Genomic DNA, 25,666 nt, shown 5'->3' on the forward strand with positions numbered 1-25,666 from the left:
TGAACCCGGCTTCCACTGCCATTTTGAAAAGAGCAGGGGAAAAGTGAAGAATAGACTTGAAAGCAAAAAAAAAAGGCCAGGGTCAGCACAGAGGGAAATCAGGAAGAAATCAAAACATTACTGATGGGCCGAGCATGGTGGCTCATGCCTGTAATCCCATCACTTTGGGAAGTTGAGGCTGGCAGATCATTTGAGGTCAGGAGTTCGAGACCAGCCTGGCCAACGTGGTGAAACCCTGTCTCTACTAAAAATACAAAAAAATGAGCCGGGCACGGTGGCACACAACTGTAATCCCAGCTACTCGGGAGGCTGAGGCATGAGAATCTCTTGAACCCAGGAAGCGGAGGTTGCAGTGAGCCGAGACAGTGCCACTGCACTCCAGCCTGGGTGACAGAGTGAGAACGTATCTCAGAAAAAAACAAAAACCAAAACAAAATAAACAACATAACTGATGAATCCATTCCCTTGAGGAAAATCAACTGAAGGTACCTGGACAAAGGTGGGTTTCTGGAAATGCAACATCAAGACCCAGGCATTTTCTGCAAAATGTCCTTTATAGCTGGTTTGTCCAAACTAGGATCTAGATGTAGATGATACACTACATCTGGTTGTTATGTCTCTTAATATTTAAATTTAGAAAAATACCTTTTCCTAAATTAGTGAAGGAAAGAGGCCAGTTGTCCTTACAACATCCTACTGCCAGAATTTGTTTGCTGCCTTTTGCTTTCCTTTAGCTGATCCTATAGACTATCCTGTTAACTTGATTAGATCTAAGTTAAACATTTTTTAAAAATTATTTTTAATTTTTGTGGCTACTAAACATTTTTTATAATATGTCATAGTTGTTGGGTATAGAGGCTAACTAACACATGTAATCCCAGAACTTTGGGAGGCTGAGGTGGGAAATTGCTTGAAGTCAGGAGTTTGAGACCCTTTTTCTGCAAAAAATTAAAAAAATTAACAAGGGTATGGTGTCAGGTGCCTGTAGTCCCAGCTACTTGGAAGGTGAAGAGGGAGGATTGCTTGATCCCGGGAGGTTGAGGCTGAAGTGAGCTGTGATAGAACCACTGCATTCCAGCCTGGGCAACAGGGCGAGACCCTCTCTCAAAAAAAAAAAAAAAAAAGTCATAGTTGATGGTAGCTACTTAATATTGTCATCCCAGCAGGAGACACATAATATCTGGTTGTTCTGCCATTATGTTAAGATTTACCACGGTGTTATGGTGGTAAGAGCCGGGGCACAGTTAACTTACCCCTTAGGACCAGGAAGTAATCTTTGTGGTACTTACTCTTTCTAAAGGTCAGTTTCCTCATCTGAAATGTGAATAAATAGGGTTGTTGAACGGATTAAGTAAATCAATGCATTTAAAGAACCTATGACATAGTAAACATTCAAATAAACTAGCAATTATTATTATTATTTGGTTGCAATTCTACCATCAGAGAACATAGGGTAGAAGAACAAAAACAAAAACTCCCTCTCCTCAGGTCCCAACGCTTGCTAATATTTCCCTTTTCTAAAAGGAGGAAGGCCATTTTGGAGTCTGACAGACCAGGCTGGAAGTTTGGCCTTATTGCTAGAACAGGTGATATCTGTGGACAAGTTACTTCTATCAATTTTCTCCTATGTAATAATTACCTTTTGTGGAGGGGTTAGTGTGTATATTGTATTAAACACTTACAAGGATCTTCACATGTAATTCTTCCTTGAATCCTACAATAATTATTACCTGCCGGGCGCGGTGGGTCACGCCTGTAATCCCAGCACTTCGGGAGGCCGAGGCGGGCAGATTACTTGAGGTCAGGAGTTGAAGACCATCCTGGTTAACACGGTGAAACCCCGTCTCTACTAAAAATACAAAAAAATTAGCCGGGCGTGGTGGCATGCGCCTGTAATCCCAGCTACTCGGGAGGCTGAAGCAGGAGAATGGCGTGAACCCGGGAGGTGGAGCTTGCAGTGAACCGAGATAGCGCCACTGCACTCCAGCCTGAGCGACAGAGTGAGACTCCGTCTCAAAAAACAAAACAAAACAAAAACAAAAATAAATTTAAAAAAGACGAGATAACCTTTCTCTATCCTCTGTAAAGTTGGACTCCCCTCTTCCCTGCTTCACTTTGCTCCACCTAACCCACTACTATAAATATTTACCATTTTTTTGAGACAGGGTACCACTCTGTCACCCAGCCTGGAGTGCAGTGGTGCGATCACGACTCACTATAGCCACGACCTCCTGGGTTCAAGCGATCCTCCCATCTCAGTCTCCTGAGTAGCTAGCTGAGACCACAGGTGGGCGCTATCACGTCCAATTTTTTTTTTTTTTTTTGATACGGAGTCTCGCTCTGTCGCCCAGGTTGGAGTGCAATGGTGCGATCTCGGCTCACCGCAACCTCCGCCTCCCGGGTTCAAGCCATTCTCCTGCTTCAGCCTCCCGAGTAGCTGGGATTACAGGGGCCCGCCACCACGCCCAGCTAACTTTTGTATTTTTAGTAGAGACCGGGTTTCACCAGGTTGGCCGGGCGTATCTCGAACTCCTGACCTCAGGCGATCCGCCCGCCTCGGCCTCCCAAAGTGCTGGGATTACACGCGTGACCCACCGCGCCGGGCCAAAGTCTGGCTAGTTTTTAAATTTTTTGTAGAGACAAGAGTTTCGCTATGTTGCCCAGGGCTGGTGTCCAACTCCTGGGCTCACGTGATCCTCCCGTCTCAGCGTCGGGAGTACCTGACATTCCAGGCGCGAGCCACGGCGCCGGCTCCTGTTGGTTTTAGTATCTGTCTTGTTCCACTAGAATCTCAACCCCACAAGGACAAGAATTTTTATCTGTTTTGTTCACTGCTGTTTTTTCAGCATTTATAGCAGCTCCAGGCGCGTAGCAGAGAATCATTAAATATTTATAGAAAGATTAAATACGCTCTTCCGGAAGCACCGACAAACAAGATTAAATGAGCTTGGATTGAACCTCGTAGCGGCCCGTAGTACTCCTCCTTCCCGCCATCCTATAGATGAAAGGAAGAAAAGGAAAAGCCCCGCCCCTCGCTCGGCTGCTGGAGGCGAGGGCTTCGGAAGTCTTCATGCTAGTCTCGTGGGGTTCCGCGGTGTCGTCGCTGGCTGTGCGCGTCATTTCCGGGCGTCACGTAACGGAGTGGCCAACGGCCTGCAGAGCAACATGCCCAAGTGAGTGGGGCCCCGAAATCTGAGGGTGATCGTAGTCACTAGTTGTGGCCCCCATGCAGGAGCGGAGAGCGGGTTCTGGTTTCTGAAACCTCGAGGGATGGGAGAGTATCTGGGCCGGGTGGACGGAGGCAGGGAGATGGAGAGCGCTAGACACCCCATTTTAGAGTGCAGATGGATCCCGCTTAAGGCAACAAAAAAAAGCCTGGTTTATGTGTCGACGCTTTGATGCTTTTGAGTCGTGAGGCGGTCTGGCTTTTTGTTTTGTTTGTTTGTTTTGTTTTTATCTTCCATGAACAGCGCTTCCGTGGATGGGCATCTCAGTGGTTGTCGTCTTTTTCTCTTCCTTTCACCTCTTTTCAGGTTTTATTGTGACTACTGCGATACATACCTCACCCATGACTCTGTAAGTGGCATATCTATTCATAGTTTCAAAAAGCCTTATGTGTAATAATTAAATGAGTTTTGTGTTTTTTTTAAGTTGCAAGTTGTGCTTTCCCACCTGCTGAGGTTTAAGGTCTACTCCTTGAAGAAAATAATTGGAGGTTATTTTCCCACCCTTCCAGTAACTTTGATTAAAAACTGCTTAACAAGTCAGGCATGGTGGTGTGCCTGCAGTCCCAGATACGCAAGAGGATGAGGTGAGAGAATTGCTTGAGGTCCAGGCTGCAGTGAGGCATGATCAGGCACTGCACTCCAGCCTGGACAACAAAACAAAAAAAGCTGCTTGTCAAATAATAACAACAGTTAAAGCAGAATGTTTTGTTAGTACTTTTTTTTTTTTGAAACGGAGTTTCGCTCTTGTTGCCCTGGCTGGAGTGCAGTGGTGCAATCTCGGCTCACTGCAACCTGCTCCTCCCGGGTTTAAGCGATTCTCCTGCCTCAGCCTCCCGAGTAGCTGGGATTACAGGCATGGGCCACCACGCCCGGCTAATTTTGAATTTTTAGGAGAGATGGGGTTTCTCCATGTTGGTCAGGCTGGTCTCGAACTCCCGACCTCAGGCGATCTGTCCTCCTCGGCCTCCCAAAGTGCTGAGATTACAGGTGTGAGCCACCATGCCCAGCCAACCCCGTCTCTTAAAAAAAAATTTAGTGGTCTATCTTAAGAGCACTTGAGTGGATCTTTTACCATGCATGATTTTGTAATGTGCATTGGTTATTTGGAAAATGTTGATTGACTTGAGTTAGTGCCAGGGTTCAAATGTAGACACATTTGATTATGTAATGAAAACCCTTGGGAGGCCGAGGCGGGCGGATCACGAGGTCAGGAGATCGAGACCACGGTGAAACCCCGTCTCTACTAAAAATACAAAAAATTAGCTGGGCGCGGTGGCGGGCGGGCGACTCTATAGTCCCAGCTACTCGGGAGGCTGAGGCAGGAGAATGGCGTGAACCTCGGAGGCGGAGCTTGCAGTGAGCCGAGATCCCGCCACTGCACTCCAGCCTGGGCGACAGAGCGAGACTCCGTCTCAAAAAAAAAAAAAAAAAAAAAAAAAAGAAAAGAAAACCCACGTTAATTAATGTCACAATCTAATCAGAACCACCTTTAAGTATTGGGAAGCTGTCAAGCTTATGGTGGCAAATAATATTTTCCAAAATTCTGATTTTTGCTTAATAGCTCAAATTCTATCATTGGCAATACTTTCCATTGCTCTCCTTGAAGTGACAGGCTCACTCCATTCATTTTTGAGAAGTCTGAATATACAGTTTGTGTCTCAGTCACTCTCAAATAAAAATGGTGTTCCATCAAAGAGGCAGCTGGGCTGGATATGGTGGCTCATGTCTGTAATCCCAGCACTTCGGGAGGCCGAGGAAGGAGGATTGCTTGAGCCCAGGACTTCAAGAGAGGCAGCTAGTAGAGCTCACAATTTGAACAATTACATGCCTGCTTTTCCTTGAAAGAGCATCATATTTTGGCATGCAACACAAGTGGCTTTGTCTATACTTCCCATTTTGTCACTCAGAATATTAAAAAGAATTGAACTTAAGGGTTTTTAATAAAAATTAATAATTTTGTTGCTTCATTAAGGACACTCAGTGGAACTGGCTTTTTTTTCCCCCATGAGTACATACGTTGAAGAATACAGTGATCACTAATACAGTAGGTTGCCATTGCCTTGATTCATTCTAAAGTACCAGGAGTTTGGCATCATCAGTGAAAATGTCAATACAGTGAAAAAGGAAAGTAATGGCTTAGTAGTATTATGAAAACACTTTGACCTTGCAGACCTCATGAAAGAGTCTCAGAGACCCTTAGATGTCTGTCTGTGAACCATACCTTGAACACTGCAGCTCTATGCTTTGCTGTCTCTGTAGAAATCTGATTAAATCATAACTCTTTTTACAGCTGAGGCCTCACTGTGTTTCCCAGGCTGGTCTAAATTATGATTCTTGATCATCTTGAATAGTAGCTGGAAGAAACTGGCCAGTGATTTTTCTATTGTCACCTTATTTGAAATTCTTTCTAACATATGGTCAGATGTAGTACAGCATTAATAGAGATGTGGAACATTTAAGTTGGGTGGTTCCTCTTGAAGACATTATTATAGTTCTGTATATTATCTTTTTTTTTTTTTTTTTTTGAGATGGAGTCTTGCTTTATTTCCTGGGCTGGAGTGCAATGGCGCGATCTTGTTTCACTGCAGCCTCTGCGTCCCAGGCTCAAGCAATTCTCCTGTCTCAGCTTCTCCAGTAGCTGGGATTACAGGCCTGCACCACCACACCTGGCTAGTTTTCTTATTTTTAGTACAGACGGGGTTTCACCATGAAAAAACGGTCCCGCCTCAGCCTCCCAAAGTGCTGGGAGTGAGTCACTGTGTCCGGCCAAGTTCTGTGTATTATCATACATTGTCCTAGAATAGAGTGCTCTGATAAATTGGTATTTTTAGTAGCTAGTCAGTTCTTCCTTATAGGTCCCTAGTCCTTTTTTTACCCCTCTCTAGGTAAAACCCCTCGACATAATTTTCTGAAATTGTTAATGAGGGGGCTGTGCCTTTCTGCCCTTTTTTGGCATTATAGTTTAATATACCTATTATTCACCTTCTTGCTAATGCCAGAATTCAGAGAACTGAGAAGTATTTCTTTATATTATAAATATCTTTTCATGAGAAATGTCATGAACCCTTGTTCCTTCTAAAATGATGTCTTGCAAAAATAGAAAATGTCTATGGTGATTGATTTTACAGATCCCTGCAGTGGACTTAGAAATGTGTAAAATCAGCTGGGTGTGGTGGCTTACACCTGTAATCCCAGCACTAGGAGGCCAAGGTGGGCAGATCACGAGATCAGGAGTTAAAACCAGCCTGGCCAACATAGTGAAACCCCATCTCTACTAAAAATACAAAAAAAAATTAGCTGGGTGTAGTGGCACGCGCCTATAGTCCCAGGTACTTGGGAGGCTGAAGCAGGAGAATCACTTGAACCTGGGAGGGAGAGGTTGCAGTAAGCTGAGATCTTGCCACTGCACTCCAGCCTGGGTGACAGAGTGAGACTCCGTCTCAAAAAAAACCAAAAAAAAAAACAACAAAAAAGAAATGTGTAAAAACATTCAGTAGTGCTGTAATTTTTGGACTTTGGTTGATTTTTAGTCATGTTTTTGTCTTTTTTTTTGAGATGGAGTCTCACTGTGTTGCCCAGGCTGGAGTGCAGTAGCATGATCTCAGTTCACTGCAACCTCCACCTCCTAGATTCAAGTGATTCTCCTGCCTCAGCCTCCCGAGTAGCTGGGATTACAGGCGCGTGCCATCATGCCCAACTAATTTTTGTATTTTTAGTAGAGACAGTTTCGCCTTGTAGGCCAGGGTGGTCTTGAACTCCTGACATCAGGTGATCCGCACACTTTGGCCTCCCAAAGTGCTGGGATTATAGGTGTGAGCCACCGCGACTGGCTGCTAGTCATGATTTTGTTATTAGGCTTAAGGCATCATTGTATTAATGTAAGCAGTGGTTGGGAAGACAAGGAACAATTTTTTTTTTTTTTTTTTTTTTTTTGTGACGGAGTATCTCTGTGTCGCCCAGGTTGGAGTGCAATGGCATGATCTTGGCTCACTGCAAGCTCCGCCTCCTGGGTTCACGCCATTCTCCTGCCTCAGCTTCCTGAGTAGCTAGGACTACAGGTGCCCGCCACCATACTTTTTTGTATTTTTAGCAGAGACGAGGTTTCACCATGTTAGCCAGGATGGTCTCGATCTGACCTTGTGATCCACCCACCTCGGCCTCCCAAAGTGCTGGGATTACAGGCTTGAGCTACTGCGCCCAGCCAGGAACAATTTTTTTTATTTTGGAGATAGGATTTTGCTTTGTCACCCAGGCTGGAGTGTAGTGGAGTGATCTTGGCTCACTGTAGCCTTGATCTCCTGGGCTCAAACGTGCTTCCCATTTTAGCCTCCCAAGTAGCTGCAACCACCACCTTTGCTGCAGTTACTCAACTGTTCCTTGTAGAGAGAAGCTGTAGCCAATATATAAATAAATGTGCTGGGCTCTGTGGCTCACACCTGTAATCTCACAGCACTTTGGGAGGCCAAGATGAGAGGATCACTTGAGCCTAGGGGTTTGAGACCAGAATGGGCAACATTGTGAGACGTCATCTCTACAAAAAATTAAAAAGTTGGCTGGTCATAGTGGCTTGTGTCTCTAGTCCCAGCAACTCAGGAGGCTGAGGTGGGATGATTGCTTGAGCCCGGATGGTTGAGGCTGCAGTGAGCCGAGATCGTGCTATTGTATTCCAGCCTGGGCAACAGAGCAGGACCCTGTTAGAAAAAAAAAAAAAGATAGATAGAGATAAATGTGGTTGTGTTCCAATACTTTTTTTTTAAAACACAAAAGCCAGTGGCTGGCCAATGGGGCATAGTTTGCTGACCTCTGGTCTAGATAATATAGTAAAAAAATTACCACAGTGTGTTGCTGGATAATGTTTTTAAGTAATACTGTAGCAGCCAGCTAATGCTGCTGATACTAGACACGCTACTTATATAAAGGTAAAACTTTATTAAATTTTTAGTGTTGGACATTTGTTTCTACGTCTGATATGATCTTTTTATTTTACAGCCATCTGTGAGAAAGACACACTGCAGTGGAAGGAAACACAAAGAGAATGTGAAAGACTATTATCAGAAATGGATGGAAGAGCAGGCTCAGAGCCTGATTGACAAAACAAGTATGTTTCAATCTCTTGTTCTGCTGTGGTAAAATGGTCCTATTCTTTCTTATCCCTGTCTCTGGTGTTTTTCACAGAGGCAACTCATTCTGAATGATAAATAGGAGCATTTGGATGTGTCGAATGAAAGAAGCAGAAGGTCATTGGTTTCCCAAGGATATAAGAACACATTAATATTTATTATTGAGGATAGAGCAGTCAGAGACAGCAATAAGGTTAGATGGGGAAGTGAGGCAGAGAAGAGTGGAGGTGCTTAATATTTATCTATTGGCACAGACGAGATTTTGTAGCAAATTTCTATAAAGCCCCTTTGTAGTAATCCACAGGTTTTAGAAGTATGTTCCTATTCTAATAGGAGCAGGTGAGGAGTGGGTTTGTGGTTTTCCCCAAATAGTTTGAGACTATATTTAGATTTCTTATTTGTAGTCCTGATAGAGTACTAGTCAAAAAGAGACTACCTGATGTAACAAAATAGTCTGGATATGTTTTGGACCCCTGTTGTACCTCCCATGCTCTTTTTGTTAGGAACATTTTGTTCTGGCTTATTGGGTCCGGGACACTAACAGAAGGAGATATTGCATTTTTACTTTAGATCATCCTGGTATATTTGAATCACGGCCTTTCTTAATCATTCATTGTACTCCAAGCTGGCAAGCAAATATGGGCTTTGTGATGTGCCTTTTTAAAAAAGCAGTAGGCCAGGTGCAGTGGCTGATGCCTGTAATCCCAGTACTTTGGGAGGCCGAGGCTGGCAGATCACTTGAGGCCAGGAGTTGGAGACCATCCTGGCCAAATGGTGAAACCCCATCTCTACTAAAAATATAAAAATTAGCGGGGCGTGGTGGTGCCTGCTTCTAATCCCAGCTACTCAGGAGGCTAAGGCAGGAGAATCGCTTGAACCCAGAAGGTGGAGGTTGCAGTGAGCTGAGATTGCACTACTGCACTCCAGCCTGGGTGAGAGAGTGAGACTGTCTCAAAAAAAAAAAAAATTAAAAATTTGTATTTTTTATTTATTTTTATTTATTTATTTATTTGAGACAGTCTCACTCTGTCGCCAGGCTGGAGTGCAGTGGTGTGATCTTGGCTCACTGCAAGCTCCACCTCCCAGGTTCAAGCGATTCTCCTGCCTCAGCCTCCCGAGTAGCTGGGATTACAGGCGCATGCCACCGTGCCTAGCCAATTTTTGTATTTTTAGTAGAGACGGGATTTCACCATCTTGGCCAGGCTGGTCTTGAACTCCTGACCTCGTGATCCACCCGCCTCGGCCTCCCAAAGTGCTGGGATTACAGGCGTGAGCCACCATGCCCAGCCAAAAATTTTTTTAAAAATTAAAAAACAATAAAAAGGCAAAACTGTCCGGGCACAGTGGCTTACTTACGCCTGTAATCTCAGCACTTTGGGAGGAGGAGGTGGGCAGATCCTCTGAGGTCAGGAGTTCGAGACCAGCTTGGCCAACATGGCAAAACCCCATCTCTACTAAAAATACAAAAAATTGGCCGGGCGTGGTGGCTCACGCCTGTAATCCTAGCACTTTGGGAGGCTGAGGCGGGTGGATCACCTGAAGTCAGGAGTTCGAAACCAGCCTCAACATGGAGAAACCCCGTCTCTACTAAAAATACAAAATTAGCTGGGCGTGGTGGTGCATGCCTGTAATCCCAGCTACTTGGGAGGCTGAGGCAGGAGAATTGCTTGAACCTGGGAGGCGGAGGTTGGGTTGAGCCGAGATCGCGCCATTGCATTCCAGCCTGGGCAACAAGAGGGAAACTCCGTCTCAAAAACAAACAAAAAAAAACAACAAAAAACAAAAAATTCAGACGGGCATGGTGGTGCGTGCCTGTAGCCCCAGCTACTTGGGAGACTGAGGCAGGAGAATCGCTCAAACCCAGGAAGCGGAGGTTGCAGTGAGCTAAGATTGCGCCACTGCACTCCAACCTGGGTGACAGAGTGAGACTCCATCTCAAAAAAATAATAATAATTAATAAATAATAAAAAGGCAAAACTATTGTGGAAATTTTCAAATAAAATAGAGAAGCGGGGGCCTGGCATGGTGGCTCATGCCTGTAATCCCAGCACTTTGGGAGGCCGAGGTGGGTGGATCACCTGAGATCAGCAGTTTGAGACCAGCCTGACCAACATCGAGAAACCGTGTCTCTAGTAAAAATACAAAATTACCTGGGTGTGGTGGCACATGCCTGTAATCCCAGCTACTTGGGAGGCTGAGGCAGGAGAATCGCTTGAACCCGGGAGGTGGAGGTTGCAGTGAACAGAGATCTCGCCACTGCATTCCAGCCTGGGCAACAGAGCGAGACTCTGTCTGAAAAAAAAAACTAGACAAGCTTAATGAACCTCCCATTCTGAATTTCCTCACCCTTCATTTCTCATTGCTCAGCTGTAGCACTCTTGTTCCATTTATTCTAAGTTTCTCAACCTCGATACTGTTGGCATTTAAGGCTGGATAATCTTTTGCTGTGAGGGTCTTTCTGTGCATTTCAGGATGTTTGACAGCATCCCTGGCATATGCCAACTAGATGCCCGTACCAACCTCCAGTTGTGACTACTAAAAATATCTCCAGGCATTGTGCAGTGCCCCTGGGAAGCAAAATTGTTTCTGGCCGAGACAGCCACTGAATATTGTCATCTACTCCCTTTCTCCTTCCTGGATTATTATGGAGCAAACCTCAGACATTGTCCCAGTTTTTAAAATTTATCTTATATATTTATTTATTTATTTATTTATTTTATTTATTTATTGAGATTGAGTCTTGCTCCATTGCCCAGGTTGGAGTGCAGTGGCACGATCTCAGCTCACTGCAGCCTCTGCCTCCTGGGTTCAAGCGAGTCTCCTGCCTCAGCCTCCCGAGTAGCTGGGACTACAGGTGCATGCCACCACACCTGGCTAATTTTTTTGTATTTTTGGTAGAAATGAGGTTTCACCATGTTGGCCAGGCTGGTCTTGAACTCGTGACCTCAAGTATTCACCTGCTTCAGCCTCCCAAAGTGCTGGGATTACAGGCCAGGCATGAGCCACCATGCCCAGTCACAATTTTTTTTTTAGAACTGAGTCTCACTCTGTTGCCCAGACTGGAGTGCTGTGGTGCCATTAAAGCTCACTGCAGCCTCAAATTTCTGGGCTCAGGTGATCCTCCGGTCTTGGCCTCCTGAGTAGGTAGGGCTACAGGTGCACACCACTATGCCAGGTTAATTTTGTAAAATTTTTTATAGAGATGGTGTCTCACTTTGTTGCCCAGGCTGGTCTTGAACTCCTGGCCTCAAGCAATCCTCCTGCCTCGGCCTCCAGAAGTGTTGGGATTATAGGCATGAGCCACCACACCTGCCCCATTGTCCCATTTCATATGAAAAAATAAACCATGATGTAATCTTGTCTCCTTATTTGAAAAGATGTTAGAAATTTCTTGGCATTAAAAGATTTACAGTATATTCTGTAGTTACTTTCCATATGCAGCAAAATAATTTAGGATGAATAAACTTTTTTTATTTAAATTTTAATTTTTTTAGAGATAGAGTCTTACTCTGTCACCCAGGCTGGAGTGCAGTGGCCTGATCATAGCTCACTGTAGCCTTGAACTCCTGGGCTCAAGCATTCCTCCTGCCTCAGCCTCCCAAGTAGCTGGGACTACAGGTGCACACCACCATGCTCAGCTAATCTTTATTTTTTGTAGAGACGGGATCTCACTATGTTGCCCAAGCTAGTCTTTAACTCTGGAGCTCAAGAGATCCTCCTGCCTCAGCCTCCCAAAGTGCTAGGATTACAGGCAGGAGCCACTGCACTCGGCTTGAATACACGTTTTTGTTTTTGTTTTAAGGCTAGTCAGAATAAACATTTTTAGTGGAGGACTTTTTGAGAATGGGGGGGAGCCCCTCAGGGACACACCTATGAAATCCATGATTATATTGACATAGAGCCTGCTACTAAGTCAGTGACTTTGCTTCCCCCACTTCAGGCTTTACAAGCTGTCCTCTTACAAAGGATGTGAGAGAGGCCTTTTTGATTGAAAAAGTCCATATTGGGGTGTAATCCCTGAGATCGCACAGGCTTTATTCAGAGGCATATGGATAATAAGCTATTCATGAATCTCCACTTAGGTCACTTTTTTTGGATCTGATCCCATGAATTATCAATAATTGATGAGTAATTTGACTTCCTTTGCATTGGTGGGAGTGGAGTGGGATGGGCTGTAGACAGCTTATGTCAGGAATAGACTTTATGAGTGTGTATTTTAATATTTATTTGTGATTCTTTTCTAACACTAAATATAGATGATCTTCAGTTTCTCTTGTTTTCTCTTGTGCTTCATCTGAAAAAAAAATTTTTAAATTGATTGCATTAGACTTTCTTAAAAATCATAATCTCTTTTGGGGCAGGCTTATAGTTTGAAATCTTTGTATGTTTTAAATATCCTAGTTTAGTGCATCGATTTCCAAACTGGTAAACCAACATGGTGTATTATTTTGACCTAGGACAGCATACATAGGAAGGATAGAAATTTTATAAAGCCTAGCTTTTTGGGCACGTATTACACTTTTTCAAACAAAACTATGAATGGCTTGAATTGGTTATAAACTACATCTATAGATTAAAGATGACTGTTCCTCTTTGGTAAAAGACATTGATAGGGCCAGGCATGGCGGCTCACGCCTATAATCCTAGCACTCTGGTAAGCTGAGGTGAGTGGATTGCGTGGACTCAGGAGTTTGAGACCAGCCCGGGCAATATGGTGAAACCCGGTCTCTATAAAAAATAAAAAGTTAGCCAGGTGTGGTGCCATGCACCTGTAGCTACTCGGGAGGATGAATTGAGAGGGTCACCTGAGCCCGGGAGGTCGAAGCTGCTGTGAGCTGCGGTTGTGTCCCTGCACTCCAACATGGGTGACAGTGAGACTCTGTCTCAAAAAGAAGACATTGATAAGCAGGAAATTTTTGCTCCAGTCTCCCATATTTAATTTAGCCATAGAAATGCTAAGTAGAAAACATAAATCAATAAACCAATTAACTGCACTTTTAGCCGGTGAATACCTAAAAATGATTTTAAAACTGTAGAACCATGATGTAATAATTTTAGATGACAACTAGCAAGAGTAAAGTAATTGGAACCGTTGAAGACTTAAAGAAAGTGGTTATTTTAGTTACTGGATTGTTGAATTCTTATTCATCTTTTTTTTTTTTTTTTTCCTCACCCTCCAAAGCGGCTGCATTTCAACAAGGAAAGATACCTCCTACTCCATTCTCTGCTCCTCCTCCTGCAGGGGCGATGATACCACCTCCCCCCAGCCTTCGTAAGTTTAAACTTTTAATCTTAAGGGGTGTGACGGGGCAGGCTATCCTTTGATTAGGTTAGATTATCTCACCGTTGGCTTTCAAATGCTGTTGCATTTGTATGTAGATAGTAATATAAATGTATAAATATATAAATGTTGAATATAGATGCAGGTAGTAATAGAAAACAACTTTAGTGGTATAATTTCTAAAATAACTTTAGAGTTAACTTTTGATTGCATTGTCACTAAGATACTGTATTTGTGGAATCCCAAGTGTGGATCTAAGACAGATTTAAATGGAAAGAAAGCTCAGAATGAACCTGTGATTAGATGAGCTAATACATGAATAGGAGTTGCTAGGTACATTAAATTATTTACTGCTATGAGCCCAGCACTGGAGGATTAAAATAGCTGATAAACTCCTTAGTCTTTTGCCCTATTTTCTAACCCACCTAACACCAAAATCTATACCTTAGAAAGATAAGAATTAGGCTGGGCGTGGTGGTTCACACCTGTAATCCCAGCACTTTGGGAGGCTGAGGTGGGTGGATCACCTGAGGTCAGGAGTTCGAGACCAGCCTGGCTAACATCGTGAAACCCCATCCCTACTAAAAATACAAAAGTTAGCCAGGCATGGTGGTGCACGTCTGTAGTCCCAGCTACTCAGGAGGCTGAGGCAGGAGAGTTGCTTGAACCCGGGTGGTGGGGGTTGCAGTGAGCTGAGATCACCTCACTGTGTACTCCAGCCTGGGCAATACAGCAAGACTTTGTCTCAAAAAAAAAAAAAAAAAGAAAAGAAAAGAAGGAAAGGTAAGAATTAGATCATTGAAAGTGGAGTGGATCATGGGCCCAGCTTTCTGGGAAAGTTTGTTGTTTCTGTGTGACAGACAAGAGGAGACTGAGTGCTGTACTGGGTCGTACTGTACTGTAGCTCTCCTGGGAGGGGTCAGACTGAAATCACATTCAGGACCTAGACTCAATCTTGCACACAATCACGGGTATAAACCCAGGGAAGTAGACTGTTTGTAATAGTTGCACACTAATGTAGGTGGACCACTAATGCCCTGGCAAACCTTTTCTGGGCACCTGCCATCCTAGGACCTGGTCAGGCCTCAGCCCATAGCAACTCCAAGGTTACTTCTCTCTCCTTCTCTACCTTGACTGGCTGGCACTCAACTCCATTATTTTTGATAGCGGAATAGTCTATGGTATGAATTTACCATAATTTACCTCACTATTTTCTTTCTTTCTTTTTTTTTTTTTTTTTTGAGACAGAGTCTCACTCTGTTGCCCAGGCTGGAGTGCAGTGGCACGATCTCAGCTCACTGCAACCTCCGCCTCCTGGGTTCCCTGGATTCAAGTGATTCTCCTGCCCAGCTAATTTTGTATTTTTAGTAGAGATGGGGTTTTGCCATGTTGGCCAGGCTGGTTCCGAACTCCTGACCTCCTGTGATCTGCCCGCCTCGGCCTCCCAAAGTGCTGGGATTACAGGCTTGAGCCACCACCCCCAGCCTACCTCACTATTTTCTTATTAAGTTGTTCCAAATTTTAGGTATTGTAAATGATACTGTCAGAAATATCCCTGCATATAAGTCTTTGCATTTTCAAAGAATCTTTTAAAACCATGTTTTCATTTTTTACAAAGGGATCTTAAATTAGATACTTGTGGCTTAAGTTCATCAGCTTTTTGTCAGGAGCTCTATAGAAGGTACAACCTCTCCACCCCCTTGTTTTGTTTTTTTAAATTAAAATCTCAATTTTTTCTTAACCTAGGGAATCTGACTTTATTTTATTCTCCTGTCTAGGCAGGCTTGTTCTTGCTTTTTATTCATAGATTAATGTGTTATGGCCTGTGATTTTTGTGGATCTGCTATTATAAAAAGAGACCATAAGAGGGTTGTTGTTTCAGAATTTGAAGGAGTTCATGAGATCCTTTTAGTTTGATTAAGAAGAGAAAATGTTGCTGGGCGCAGTGGCTCACGCCTGTAATCCTAGCACTTTGGGAGGTCGACGTGGGCAGATCACCTGAGGTTGGGAGTTCAGGACCAGCCTGACCAACATGGAGAAACCCTGTCTCTACTAGAAATACAAAATTAGCTGGGCGTGGTGGCACATGCCTGTAATCTCAGCTACTTGGGAGGCTGAGGCAGGAGAATTGCTTGAACCTGGGAGGCAGAGGTTGTGGTGAGCCGAGATTGTGCCATTGCACTCCGGCCTGGGCAACAAGAACGAAACTCCGTCTCAAAAAAAAAGAAGAGAAAATGTTAATATGTGAGCACACCTTAACCACAGGCTCCATTCTTTATTTCAGCGGGTCCTCCTCGCCCTGGTATGATGCCAGCACCCCATATGGGGGGCCCTCCCATGATGCCAATGATGGGCCCTCCTCCTCCTGGGATGATGCCAGTGGGACCTGGTAAGTTTGAATGTCTGTCTTTCTAGTTTGTTCCATTTAGTTTAGTTACTATGCATAGCTGACACTTAATGGAAGGAAGTCAGTATGTGTAGCCAAAGCTTGAAAATGGGGAGTTGTGCTCCACCTCTGAGGGTGGAATATTTACATAAATTATCTAATTAGCTGTCTAAATGTACTATTGTAACAAATTAAATTTGGTCAATTATTAATGATAAAGAAAAAGAAATACTTGGTTTATCATTATAATTGGATGGTGTCCAGTGACCTCGTGCTACTAAAAGCAGGATAGGTTGCTTCTGTTTTTCTTTTCCTCTCTTCTGTTTCCTTGCCTCATCCTGGCTTTTGGCCATTTATACTGAAGAGAAGGGTAGATGAGCTTGTTCCATTTTGTGGGAAGGGGGAAGGTTATAGATACATTTTCTCAGTTTTGATTTGGAGCAGAGCCACTTCTTGTTGCTTGTTTAATCTTGCAGTTTAACTTGGCCACATCATTATATTAAAAAGGCTTTCAGCCTGGTAGTTGTTTTTTTATTTAGGGAGGCGTAAAAAACTTACACTTCAAACATTTTATTTTAATGTAAATTTAAACATACATTAATTTGCAAATCTTTCTGATACATGAGCAGGACCTTTGCTTTGAGAGTGTGTCTAGGCCAGGCGCGGTGGCTCATGCCTGTAATCCCAGCACTTTGGGAGGCCAAGGCAGGCAGATCACGAGGTCAAGAGATCAAGACCATCTTGGCTAACACAATGAAACCCCATCTCTACTTAAAAATACAAAAAATTAGCCAGGTGTGGTGGCACGCGCCTGTTGTCTCAGCTACTCAGGAGGCTGAGGCAGGAGAATCACTTGAACCCAGGAGGCAGAGGTTGCAGTGAGCTGATATTGTGCCACTGCACTCCAGCCTGGGTGACAGAGTGAGACTGTGTCTCAAAAAAAAAAAAAAAAAAAAAGTGTGTCTAATGATTGGAACACTGTATATTTATTGCATAAACCAGCAAGCCATAACTATAGCACATCCTCCACCAACTTTAGTTTCATTTCTTTGAAGTGGTCTGAGACCTTGTGATATAATCTAGTTCCAATCTTTTATGATTACTTTGCCTACCAAATTGTTGAGCATTTTTTGGTGATAGTTTATCTGAGTCTTCCTAAGTATTAAGTTAGTTTTCATAGAAGCTATTCTCTTTTCACACTCATTTAATTGGTTTGCAGAAAAATTATATATATATAATTGGAGTAATAACTACAACTGACATAATCAGGTTTGGGAACAGATGTGACCAACACCTACAACTCTTCTGGAAAAACAAGCTGCAAAGTTACTAGAGTAGCTTCCTAGGCAGAAGTATCAGTATGTGTGCTGCAGGTATCACTTAGAGGAGGGGGAGAGTGTAGATAAAGAGAATTCCTGCCTTACTGACTTGTGAGCCCAAAACACAATCAAATGACTTCAATGGCTTTAGCATCCTTAAACCAGGCTCACAAATTCAAATTCTTAGAGGTTTTAGGGATGTGGTGAACTGGGGAATGCATGATTCATCTAAAGAAGTCTTCTAGAACTCAGCTTCAGCCTATGGTTGACATTTGAGAATACAGGCTTGGTGTTGCCTTTTCTCCTGAGTTTGCTTTTTGTTTTCTGTTTTTTCAAACCAGGATAAAATGATAAGATTGTGGGATTTGTGTTAAAATAATTGAGTAATTAGAGGGTGGACGGGGATAGGAATGGGTGGGGAGTATAGATAAAGTTGTCCATGAGTGGATAATTGTTGAAGCTGGATGATGGATACATGGATGTTCATTATACTCTTCTTTACTATTCTTGTGTATGTTTGAACATTTCCATAATAAAAAGTTTAAAAGAAAAAAGGAATCTAGACTTTTGTATGAAATCCCAATGTTGTCAACTGATTCAAAGTAAATTCACTATGGAGACTAAAGAAAACGAGTTTCCAGTTTTTAGTCTTTGGTCTATGTCCATCCATTTCCTCTAAGAAATTCTTCAATATAGGTTAAGCATGGGCTTTTATGTCGTATTTAGAAGTTAGTAGTATTCTCTGTTCCTGTTTAAATTGGTCTTAAATTCTGTACCTGTTGGATTTTGTGTCTTTGCATATTCTTGTGTTTCACCATTTGTGATAAGGCTATATTCAAGTTTGAATATGGTTTTCTCTTGAACCCTTTGCTGCAAACCTTTAATCAAAATTATTTAGTTAAAAATAAATTGGTAAGATTTGATATTTAAAAAGAATATAGATAACGTGAAATTATGTGGCGTAATAGTAAAATTAATATCCATGAACCCACCACCCAGCTGAGAAGTAGAACATTATCAATTCCATTGAAACTACCTGTGTTCCTCCCCTACCCCTCTGCCTGCCCTCCCCTCCCTGGCTCATTTATTTGGCTGGTTTATTGATGGGACACTTAAAAAAATTCATTAATAGTTTCTGAAATGCATTAGAAAAATCAGATTTTTGTGTGCGCTAATTGTTATAAATCACGTTATTGCCTATTATTTTTCTTGACTTGAGCTAAGTATGGTTACTAACAGGTTCTCAGCATGGGCCTCCTGCTCACCTTTCCTACAACTCCGAACAAACGCTTAGTGGTAAGATTGTCCTCTGTGCCTGTGTACATTCATGAAATAGCTCCTGGTTATATGGTGGATAACACTGATTAAAAGAGCTGACTGAAAAACATGTGACTTAGTTGTGAATTTCCCTGAGTGAGAAAAAAAGGTCAGTTTAGGGAACTAGTGTCCCTGGCGATTTCTGGAAAGCAGTCTATTAATAGTTTCCCCCTTACTATCATTAGATCATGATTCCCATATGGTTCTTGTGTTGACCTTTTTGTTTTTTGTTTGAGAATGTCTAAGTAATTTACAGATGTGATAAATTTGTTGCATTTCTTCTGTCACGTGTGTCTTTTTTCCAGCATTTTGCAAGGGGGGCTACGTTTTTTGTTTTTAATTGAAGTCCCATCAAACTCTCCCTAAATCGTATTTTCTGACTCCCTTTTTCTCCCTCTTCTTTGTTTTGTCCTGCAGCTCCTGGAATGAGGCCGCCCATGGGAGGCCATATGCCAATGATGCCTGGGCCCCCAATGATGAGACCTCCTGCCCGTCCCATGATGGTGCCCACTCGGCCCGGAATGACTCGACCAGACAGATAAGGATAGAGGGGAGGCCTTATTGTATCGGTTTTATATTACCTGTTCTGCTTCACCAGGAGATCATGCTGCTGTGATACTGAGTTTTCTAAACAGCATAAGGAAGACTTGCTCCCCTGTCCTATGAAAGAGAATAGTTTTGGAGGGGAGAAGTGGGACAAAAAAGATGCAGTTTTCCTTTGTATTGGGAAATGTGAAAATAAAATTGTCAACTCTTTCAGTTAAAAGTGTGTTCCCTTTTTCCTCCTCTCTGTGTTCTCTGTGTATTATAAAAGAAATGAAACATTCCAGTTCTGTTTCTCTAGCTCATTATCTCTTCAGCATATCCTCTGCGTGAGATTATTTTTTCTTAGCTAATGGTAAATCTCTTTGGGCATCCTCCCTTTATTAGTAAAGTCATCTTGTACAGCACTAAATCTAGCACTTGCAGAGCTTTTGTTGGTTAAAATAATAAACAGCTTGGTTCATTTTTCACATGAATAACACTTTGTATAGTAAGTGGAAAATTTTAAGTCTTTTATGCTGAAGTAAGGGAAAATAGTTCCCATCGTGTGCATGTCAGCCAAGAATGGAAAGAATTGCCTTAACCTCAGCTTCTCCTTTCTCTCAGCTCCCCTCTTTCTTGGGCTCAAATAATCTGAAAAATTTCTCCTTTTTAAAAAATAACTTTAAGTCCAGGCGTGGTGGCTCACGCCTGTAATCCCAGCAGTTTGGGAGGTCGAGGAGGGCAGATCACCTGAGGTTGGGAGTTCCAGACCAGCCTGACCAGTGCGGTGAAACCCCATCTCTACTAAAAATACAAAAAATTAGCCAGGCGTGGTGGCACATGCCTGTAATCCCAGCTACTCAAGAGGCTGAGGTGGGAGAATCACTTGAACCCGGGAGGCAGAGGTTGCAGTGAGCTGAGATCGTGCCACTGTACTCTAGCCTGGGCGACAGAGTCTCAAAAATAATAATATAATAATCAAAAATACTACTAATAATAACAATACAAAATAACTTAAGGGCCGAGTGTGATAGCTCACGCCTCTAATCCCGGCACTTGGGGAGGCTGAGGTGGGTGGATTCCTTGAGTCCATGAGTTTGAAACCAGCCTGGGCAACACAGGGAAACCCTCTCTCTACAAAAAAATACAAAGATTAGCTGGGTGTGATGGCACACGCCTGTAGTCCCAACTACTCTAGAGGCTGAGGTGGGAGGATCGCTTGAGCCTGGGAGGCAGAGGTTGCAGTGAGCTGAGATTGCACCATTATAGCCTGGGCAACAAGAACAAGACCCCATCTCAAAAAAAAAAAACAGAAAACAAAAAACAACCCAAACAACTTTAAATTAGAGATAGTGTCTCACAATATTGGCCAGGCTATTCTGGAACTCCTGGTTTCAAGCATTCCTCTTGCCTCAGCCTCCTTAAGTGTTGGGATAACAGGCGTGAGCCACTACACCTGGCCTGAAAACTTTCTGTAGCATTGGTAAAATTACACAGATTTCTGTGTTACAGAAGGTGCTTTTATTTGTTTATTTTTTGAGATAGGGTCTCACTCTATTGTCCAGGTTGGGGTGCAGTGGCTCAGTCATAGCTTACTACAGCTTTGACCTCCTGGGCTCAAGTGATCCTCCTGCCTTGGCCTCCCAAAGTGCTGGGATTGCAGGGGTGAGCCACTGCGCCTGTCTCAGAATGTGTTTTTAGAATCCTGTTTGTTACATAACTAGGCTGTAAAAGTAGCATATTTTCAGGGAAGCATCTAGAAAGGAAGCCATTGGCACTGTTCATATTCAGTGAAGTATAAAGCTTAAACTCTCAGCTGGGCGTGGTGTCTCATGCCTGTAATCCCAGCACTTTGGGAGGCCGAGGTGGGCGGATCACAAGGTCAGGAGTTTGAGACCAGTCTGGCTTACATGGTGAAACCCCGTCTCTACTAAAAAATACAAAACATTAGCTGGATGTGGTGGTGCACGCCTGTAATCCTAGCTACTCGGGAGGCTGAGGCAGGATAATTGCTTGAACCCAGGAGGCAGAGGTTGTAGTGAGCCAAGATCACACCATTGCACTCTAGCCTCGGTGACAGAGCAAGACTCCGTCTCGAGAAAAAACAAACAAACAAAAAACCTTAAAACTCTCTCATATTGCAAGTGGGAATGAAAACTATTATACCCTCTGGGAAGGCAATTTGGCAGTATCTATCAGAATTAGAATACCTGTATCTTTGACCTAGTATTTCCATGTCTAGGAATTTATCCTGCAGGTAGACTTGCACATGTATGAAATGACTGACATATGTGTATTATGTATTGCAGCAAAAGATTGGAAATAATATAGATGTCCAATGATGGGCTGATTTAAGTATAATACAGTTGCATATACTATGTTGCATATACATGCATCAATACACAGTTCCATATACTATGCATGTTAAAAGAGAATAAGGAAGTTCTGTGTACCAATAGGAAACGATCTCCAAGATACACGTTGTTCTACACATTGGTTCACCTAACAATGTATTGTTTACGGCAACCTTTTTTTTTTTTTTTTTGAGACGGAGTCTCGCTCTGTCCCCAGGCTGGAGTGCAGTGGCACGATCTTGGCTCACTGCAAGCTCCGCTTCCCAGGTTCACGCCATTCTCCTGCCTCAGCCTCCTGAGTAGCTGGGACTACAGGCGCCCGCCACCACACCCAGCTAATTTTTTGTATTTTTAGTAGAGACGGGGTTTCACTGTGTTAGCCAGGATGGTCTCGATCTCCTGACGTCGTGATCCGCCTACCTCAGCCTCCCAAAGTGCTGGGATTACAGACGTGAGCCACCGCGCCGGGCCGCGGCTATCCTTTTTTAAAGGAAATATCTGTATTTGCCTGTGTATGTATAATGGTTTCTACAAGGACAAAGAAGCAACTGATAATACTGGTTACTCATGAAAGATAAAGTGGGTGGCTGTGGGATAGATATGAGGGGAGAAAGGCTTGTCACTTTTTTTATATTGAGTCATTACCTATTTAAAAAAACAGAAGTGGCCAGGCGCGGTGGCTCACGCCTGTAATCCCAGCACTTTGGGAGGCCAAGGCAGGTGGATCACGAGGTCAAGAGATCGGGACCATCCTGGCCAACATGGTGAAACCCCGTCTGTACTAAAAATACACAAATTAGCTGGGTGTGGTGGCACATGCCTGTAGTCCCAGCTACTCGGGAGGCTGAGGCAGGAGAATTGTTTGAACCTGGGAGGTGGAGCTTGCAGTGAGCCAAGATCACACCACTGCACTCCAGCCTGGTGACAGGCCAAGACTCCGTCTCAAAAAAAAAAAAAAACCGGAAGCAAAACACCTTTGCCAACTGAGGTTGTTGTTACAGTGACATTATGGCAGAGGGTACCCTAAACCAGAAATTTATAACTGCTGATGATGAGAATCACAAGGGGCCTTTTTCAAAATGAAGATTCCAGATTTTGATTCAGTAGATCCTGGGGTAGGGCCTAGGAAATTTACATTTTGGAAAAGCTAGATTTTGTTTCTTAGCATATTTAGAAAAAACTCTTAGAAGCTGAGCGTGTTGGCTCACGCCTATCATCCCAGCCCTTTGAGAGGCCGAGGCAGGTGGATCACTTGAGCCTGGGGTTCAAGACCAGCTTGGGCAACATGGCGAGACCTCATCTCTACAAAAAAATACAAAAAAATTCTGTATTTTGGGCTTGGTGGGTGTGCCTGTGATCCCAGCTACTTCGGAGGTGGGAGCATCATTTGAGTCCGGGAGGTGGAGGTTGCAAGTAAGCAGAGATCACGCCACTGCACTCCAGCCTGGGCAACAGAGCAAGACACTCTCAAAAAGAGTGGGGAGGAGAGGAGAGAGAAAGAGAAAGTCTTAGGGTCTGCTCTATTTGAGAACATAACTGCATGTGTGTGTGTGCCTATAATTTTTAAAAGGTTTGGAGCTAGAAATTGAAATGATGGTAGTTGGGTTGCTTTTTCTCCTAGAAATTTGTGACTATTTTGAAGAGGGGCTAATTTAGGTAAATAAACCAGTTTATTTAAGTAAACTAGAGATTAGAGAGATTTTGACAAATAAATGGTCTTTATGCTGTCTATATAGAAGCTGAATCAACTGAACCTTTGACAGGATTACTTGTTGCTTTTTAGTTTCACATTTAGTCACATTTGTTTGTTTGTTTGTTTGTTTTTTGAGATGGAGTCTCGCTTTGTCACCCAAGCTTGTGTGCAGTGGTGCAATCTCGGCTCACTGCAAACTCTGCCTCCCGGGTTCAAGCGATTCTCCTGCCTCAGCCTCCCGAGTAGCTGGGATTACAGGCACATACTGCCACCCCCGGCTAATTTTTGTATTTTTAGTAGAGATGGCGTTTCACCATGTTGGCCAAGATGATCTCTATCTCCTGACCTCGTGATCCGCCCACCTCAGCCTCCCAAAGTGCTGAGATTACAGGCGTGAGCCACCATGCCCAGCCAGTCACATCTTTCTAAGAAGAACTTAAGTTTCAGAAATCGATGATTTATGTGTCTGATGTTTATAGCTCAGATTTGTTAGTAAAATCTTCTGCGGGCCGGGCGCGGTGGCTCATGCCTGTAATCCCAGCACTTTGGGAGGCCAAGGCGGGCGGATCACGAGGTCAGGAGATCGAAACCATCCTGGCTAACACGGTGAAACTTTGTCTCTACTGAAAATACAAAAAATTAGCTGGGCACAGTAGCGGGCGCCTGTAGTCCCAGCTACTCGGGAGGCTGAGGCAGGAGAATGGCGCTAACCCGGGAGGCGGAGCTTGCAGTGAGCCGAGATCGCGCCACTGCACTCCAGCCTGGCGGACAGAGCGAGACTCCGTCTCAAAAAAATAAAAATAAAAAATCTTCTGCAGACTTAACAGTTTGTTAGTAGAAACCTTGCCAACTGTGCTTTACATGTGATTCCTCAAGTTTCTGGTTTGGATGGCTCTTGTCAGTTTCTAGGTGAAGAATGTGTCTTTTGTGTATGCAAGAAAGCATTTTATGTAGCTTCAGAAAAACAGTGTGATGACCTAAAAGCTTAACAAGCTTCATCTACAATGAATACAAGTAGAAACAATAGTTTTTAAAAGTTATTTTTCAGCCTGGGCAACATGGTGAAACCTTGTCTCTACAAAAAATACAAAATATTAGCTGGGCATAGTGGTGCACGCCTGTTGTCCCAGCTATGTGGGAGGATCGCTTGAGCCTGGAAGGTCGAGGCTGCAATGAGCCAAGATAGCGCCACTGCACTCCAGCCAGGGCAGCAGAGTGAGACCCTGTCTCACAAAAATAAAGTTCTTTTTGTGTTTTTATCAACTCTTAGGGCAAAAGTATAATTATAATGAATAAGACATTTCCTTTGTGAGAAGCTGTGAAGAAGACAGTAGAACTTATTTATTGCTATTGTGCCTTTAGACATCTGGTCTTAATTCTGAAATATAATGAACTGTAATGGGAGAATTTGTAAAGGTGCACACAAGAATACTTCGAAATAACAAAATTAAAGAAGTTAGTGTCGATGTGGGATAATGTACTTGCTTCCGTGGGCAGATCTGAAGCCATTGTAAGTATGCTTAAAGTCCAAGCTGTCAGCATTTCCACTGCTAGGGCTTTTGAGTGATTTGTCAGAATTGTTTTTTTTTTTTGAGGCAGACTTTCACTCTTGTTGCCCATGCTGGAGTGCAGTGGCGCAATCTCGGCTCACTGCAACCTCCGCCTCCTGTGTTCAAGCGATTCTCCTGCCTCAGCCTCCCGAGTAGCTGGGATTACAGGCGTCCGCCACCATGCCTGGCTAATTTTTTTGTGTATTTTTAGTAGAGTTGGGGTTTCACTATGTTGGCCAGGCTGGTCTCGAACTCCTGACCTCACGTGATCCGCCTGCCTCTGCCCCACCAAAGTGCTGGGATTACAGGCATGAGGCACCTCTCCTGGCCAGTTTGTCAGAATTCTAATCCCCTGATTTTAAGCTGCATGAGTAATAGGATCATTGTACAGAGCCATAGGCTAATTTGATTAATCCAAATTTGGAAAAGCCTTTGGAAAAGTTCACTGATGATTAAGTGTCCCAGTTACATAGCTCTATACTTGAATAGGTATCTTTCCCTACCTGCCAATTAAAAAAAGCCCATTGACTTTTGTCTTCATCTAATGATAATACTTGAAGCATAGCACATGAAGTCAAAATCTCAAAGCACTTTGTAAATACTTAGTCACAGTGACCCTGAGAACAGGTCTTCTAATCCTTTCCTTCTTTCCTTTGCCTATATATCATATCCTAGCACTTCGTAGGAATGGTTGTTGAAAGGATAAAGAAGTGAAGGGTATGGCTGGGTGCAGTGGCTCACGCCAGCAATCCCAGCCCTTTGGGAGGCCAAGGCGGGTGGATCCCCTGAGGTCAGGAGTTTGAGACCAGCCTGGCCTAGGTAGTGAAACCCCGTCTCTACTAAGAATACAAAAATTAGCCAGGCATGGTGGCACACGCCTGTAATCCCAGCTAC

General features: G+C 43.5%; 1 protein-coding gene across 2 annotated transcripts, besides 4 other annotated features; it reads left to right on the forward strand.

Annotated features, from left to right (window-relative positions):
• Window positions 1,962-2,719: an enhancer, noted in NCBI's record as "NANOG-H3K27ac-H3K4me1 hESC enhancer chr6:34724117-34724874 (GRCh37/hg19 assembly coordinates)". NCBI's record gives its function as "activates a minimal SCP1, AML or CMV promoter by ChIP-STARR-seq in primed H9 embryonic stem cells {active_cell/tissue: H9 hESC(primed)}" and the evidence as "EXISTENCE:reporter gene assay evidence [ECO:0000049][PMID:30033119]".
• Window positions 2,720-3,477: an enhancer, noted in NCBI's record as "NANOG-H3K27ac-H3K4me1 hESC enhancer chr6:34724875-34725632 (GRCh37/hg19 assembly coordinates)". NCBI's record gives its function as "activates a minimal SCP1, AML or CMV promoter by ChIP-STARR-seq in primed H9 embryonic stem cells {active_cell/tissue: H9 hESC(primed)}" and the evidence as "EXISTENCE:reporter gene assay evidence [ECO:0000049][PMID:30033119]".
• Window positions 2,755-2,814: an enhancer, noted in NCBI's record as "active region_24386". NCBI's record gives its function as "activates an Ori minimal core promoter by ATAC-STARR-seq in GM12878 lymphoblastoid cells {active_cell/tissue: GM12878}" and the evidence as "EXISTENCE:reporter gene assay evidence [ECO:0000049][PMID:35858748]".
• Window positions 3,025-3,194: an enhancer, noted in NCBI's record as "active region_24387". NCBI's record gives its function as "activates an Ori minimal core promoter by ATAC-STARR-seq in GM12878 lymphoblastoid cells {active_cell/tissue: GM12878}" and the evidence as "EXISTENCE:reporter gene assay evidence [ECO:0000049][PMID:35858748]".
• Window positions 3,127-19,479, forward strand: SNRPC (small nuclear ribonucleoprotein polypeptide C). Of its 2 annotated transcripts, NM_003093.3 has the most exons (6): window positions 3,127-3,173; window positions 3,534-3,576; window positions 8,217-8,325; window positions 13,530-13,619; window positions 15,913-16,017; window positions 19,068-19,479. In NM_003093.3, exons 1-6 carry the CDS (start codon window positions 3,166-3,168, stop codon window positions 19,190-19,192), a joined length of 480 nt encoding a protein of 159 aa, NP_003084.1. In that variant the 5' UTR covers window positions 3,127-3,165; the 3' UTR covers window positions 19,193-19,479. The 2 variants fall into 2 exon arrangements, 1 of the variants encoding a protein (NP_003084.1); NR_029472.2 differs by lacking the exon at window positions 3,534-3,576.
• Window positions 19,480-25,666: the final 6,187 nt, after the last annotated feature.

Source organism: Homo sapiens, chromosome 6 (genome assembly GCF_000001405.40).
Source record: "Homo sapiens chromosome 6, GRCh38.p14 Primary Assembly".
NCBI lineage: Eukaryota > Metazoa > Chordata > Mammalia > Primates > Hominidae > Homo > Homo sapiens.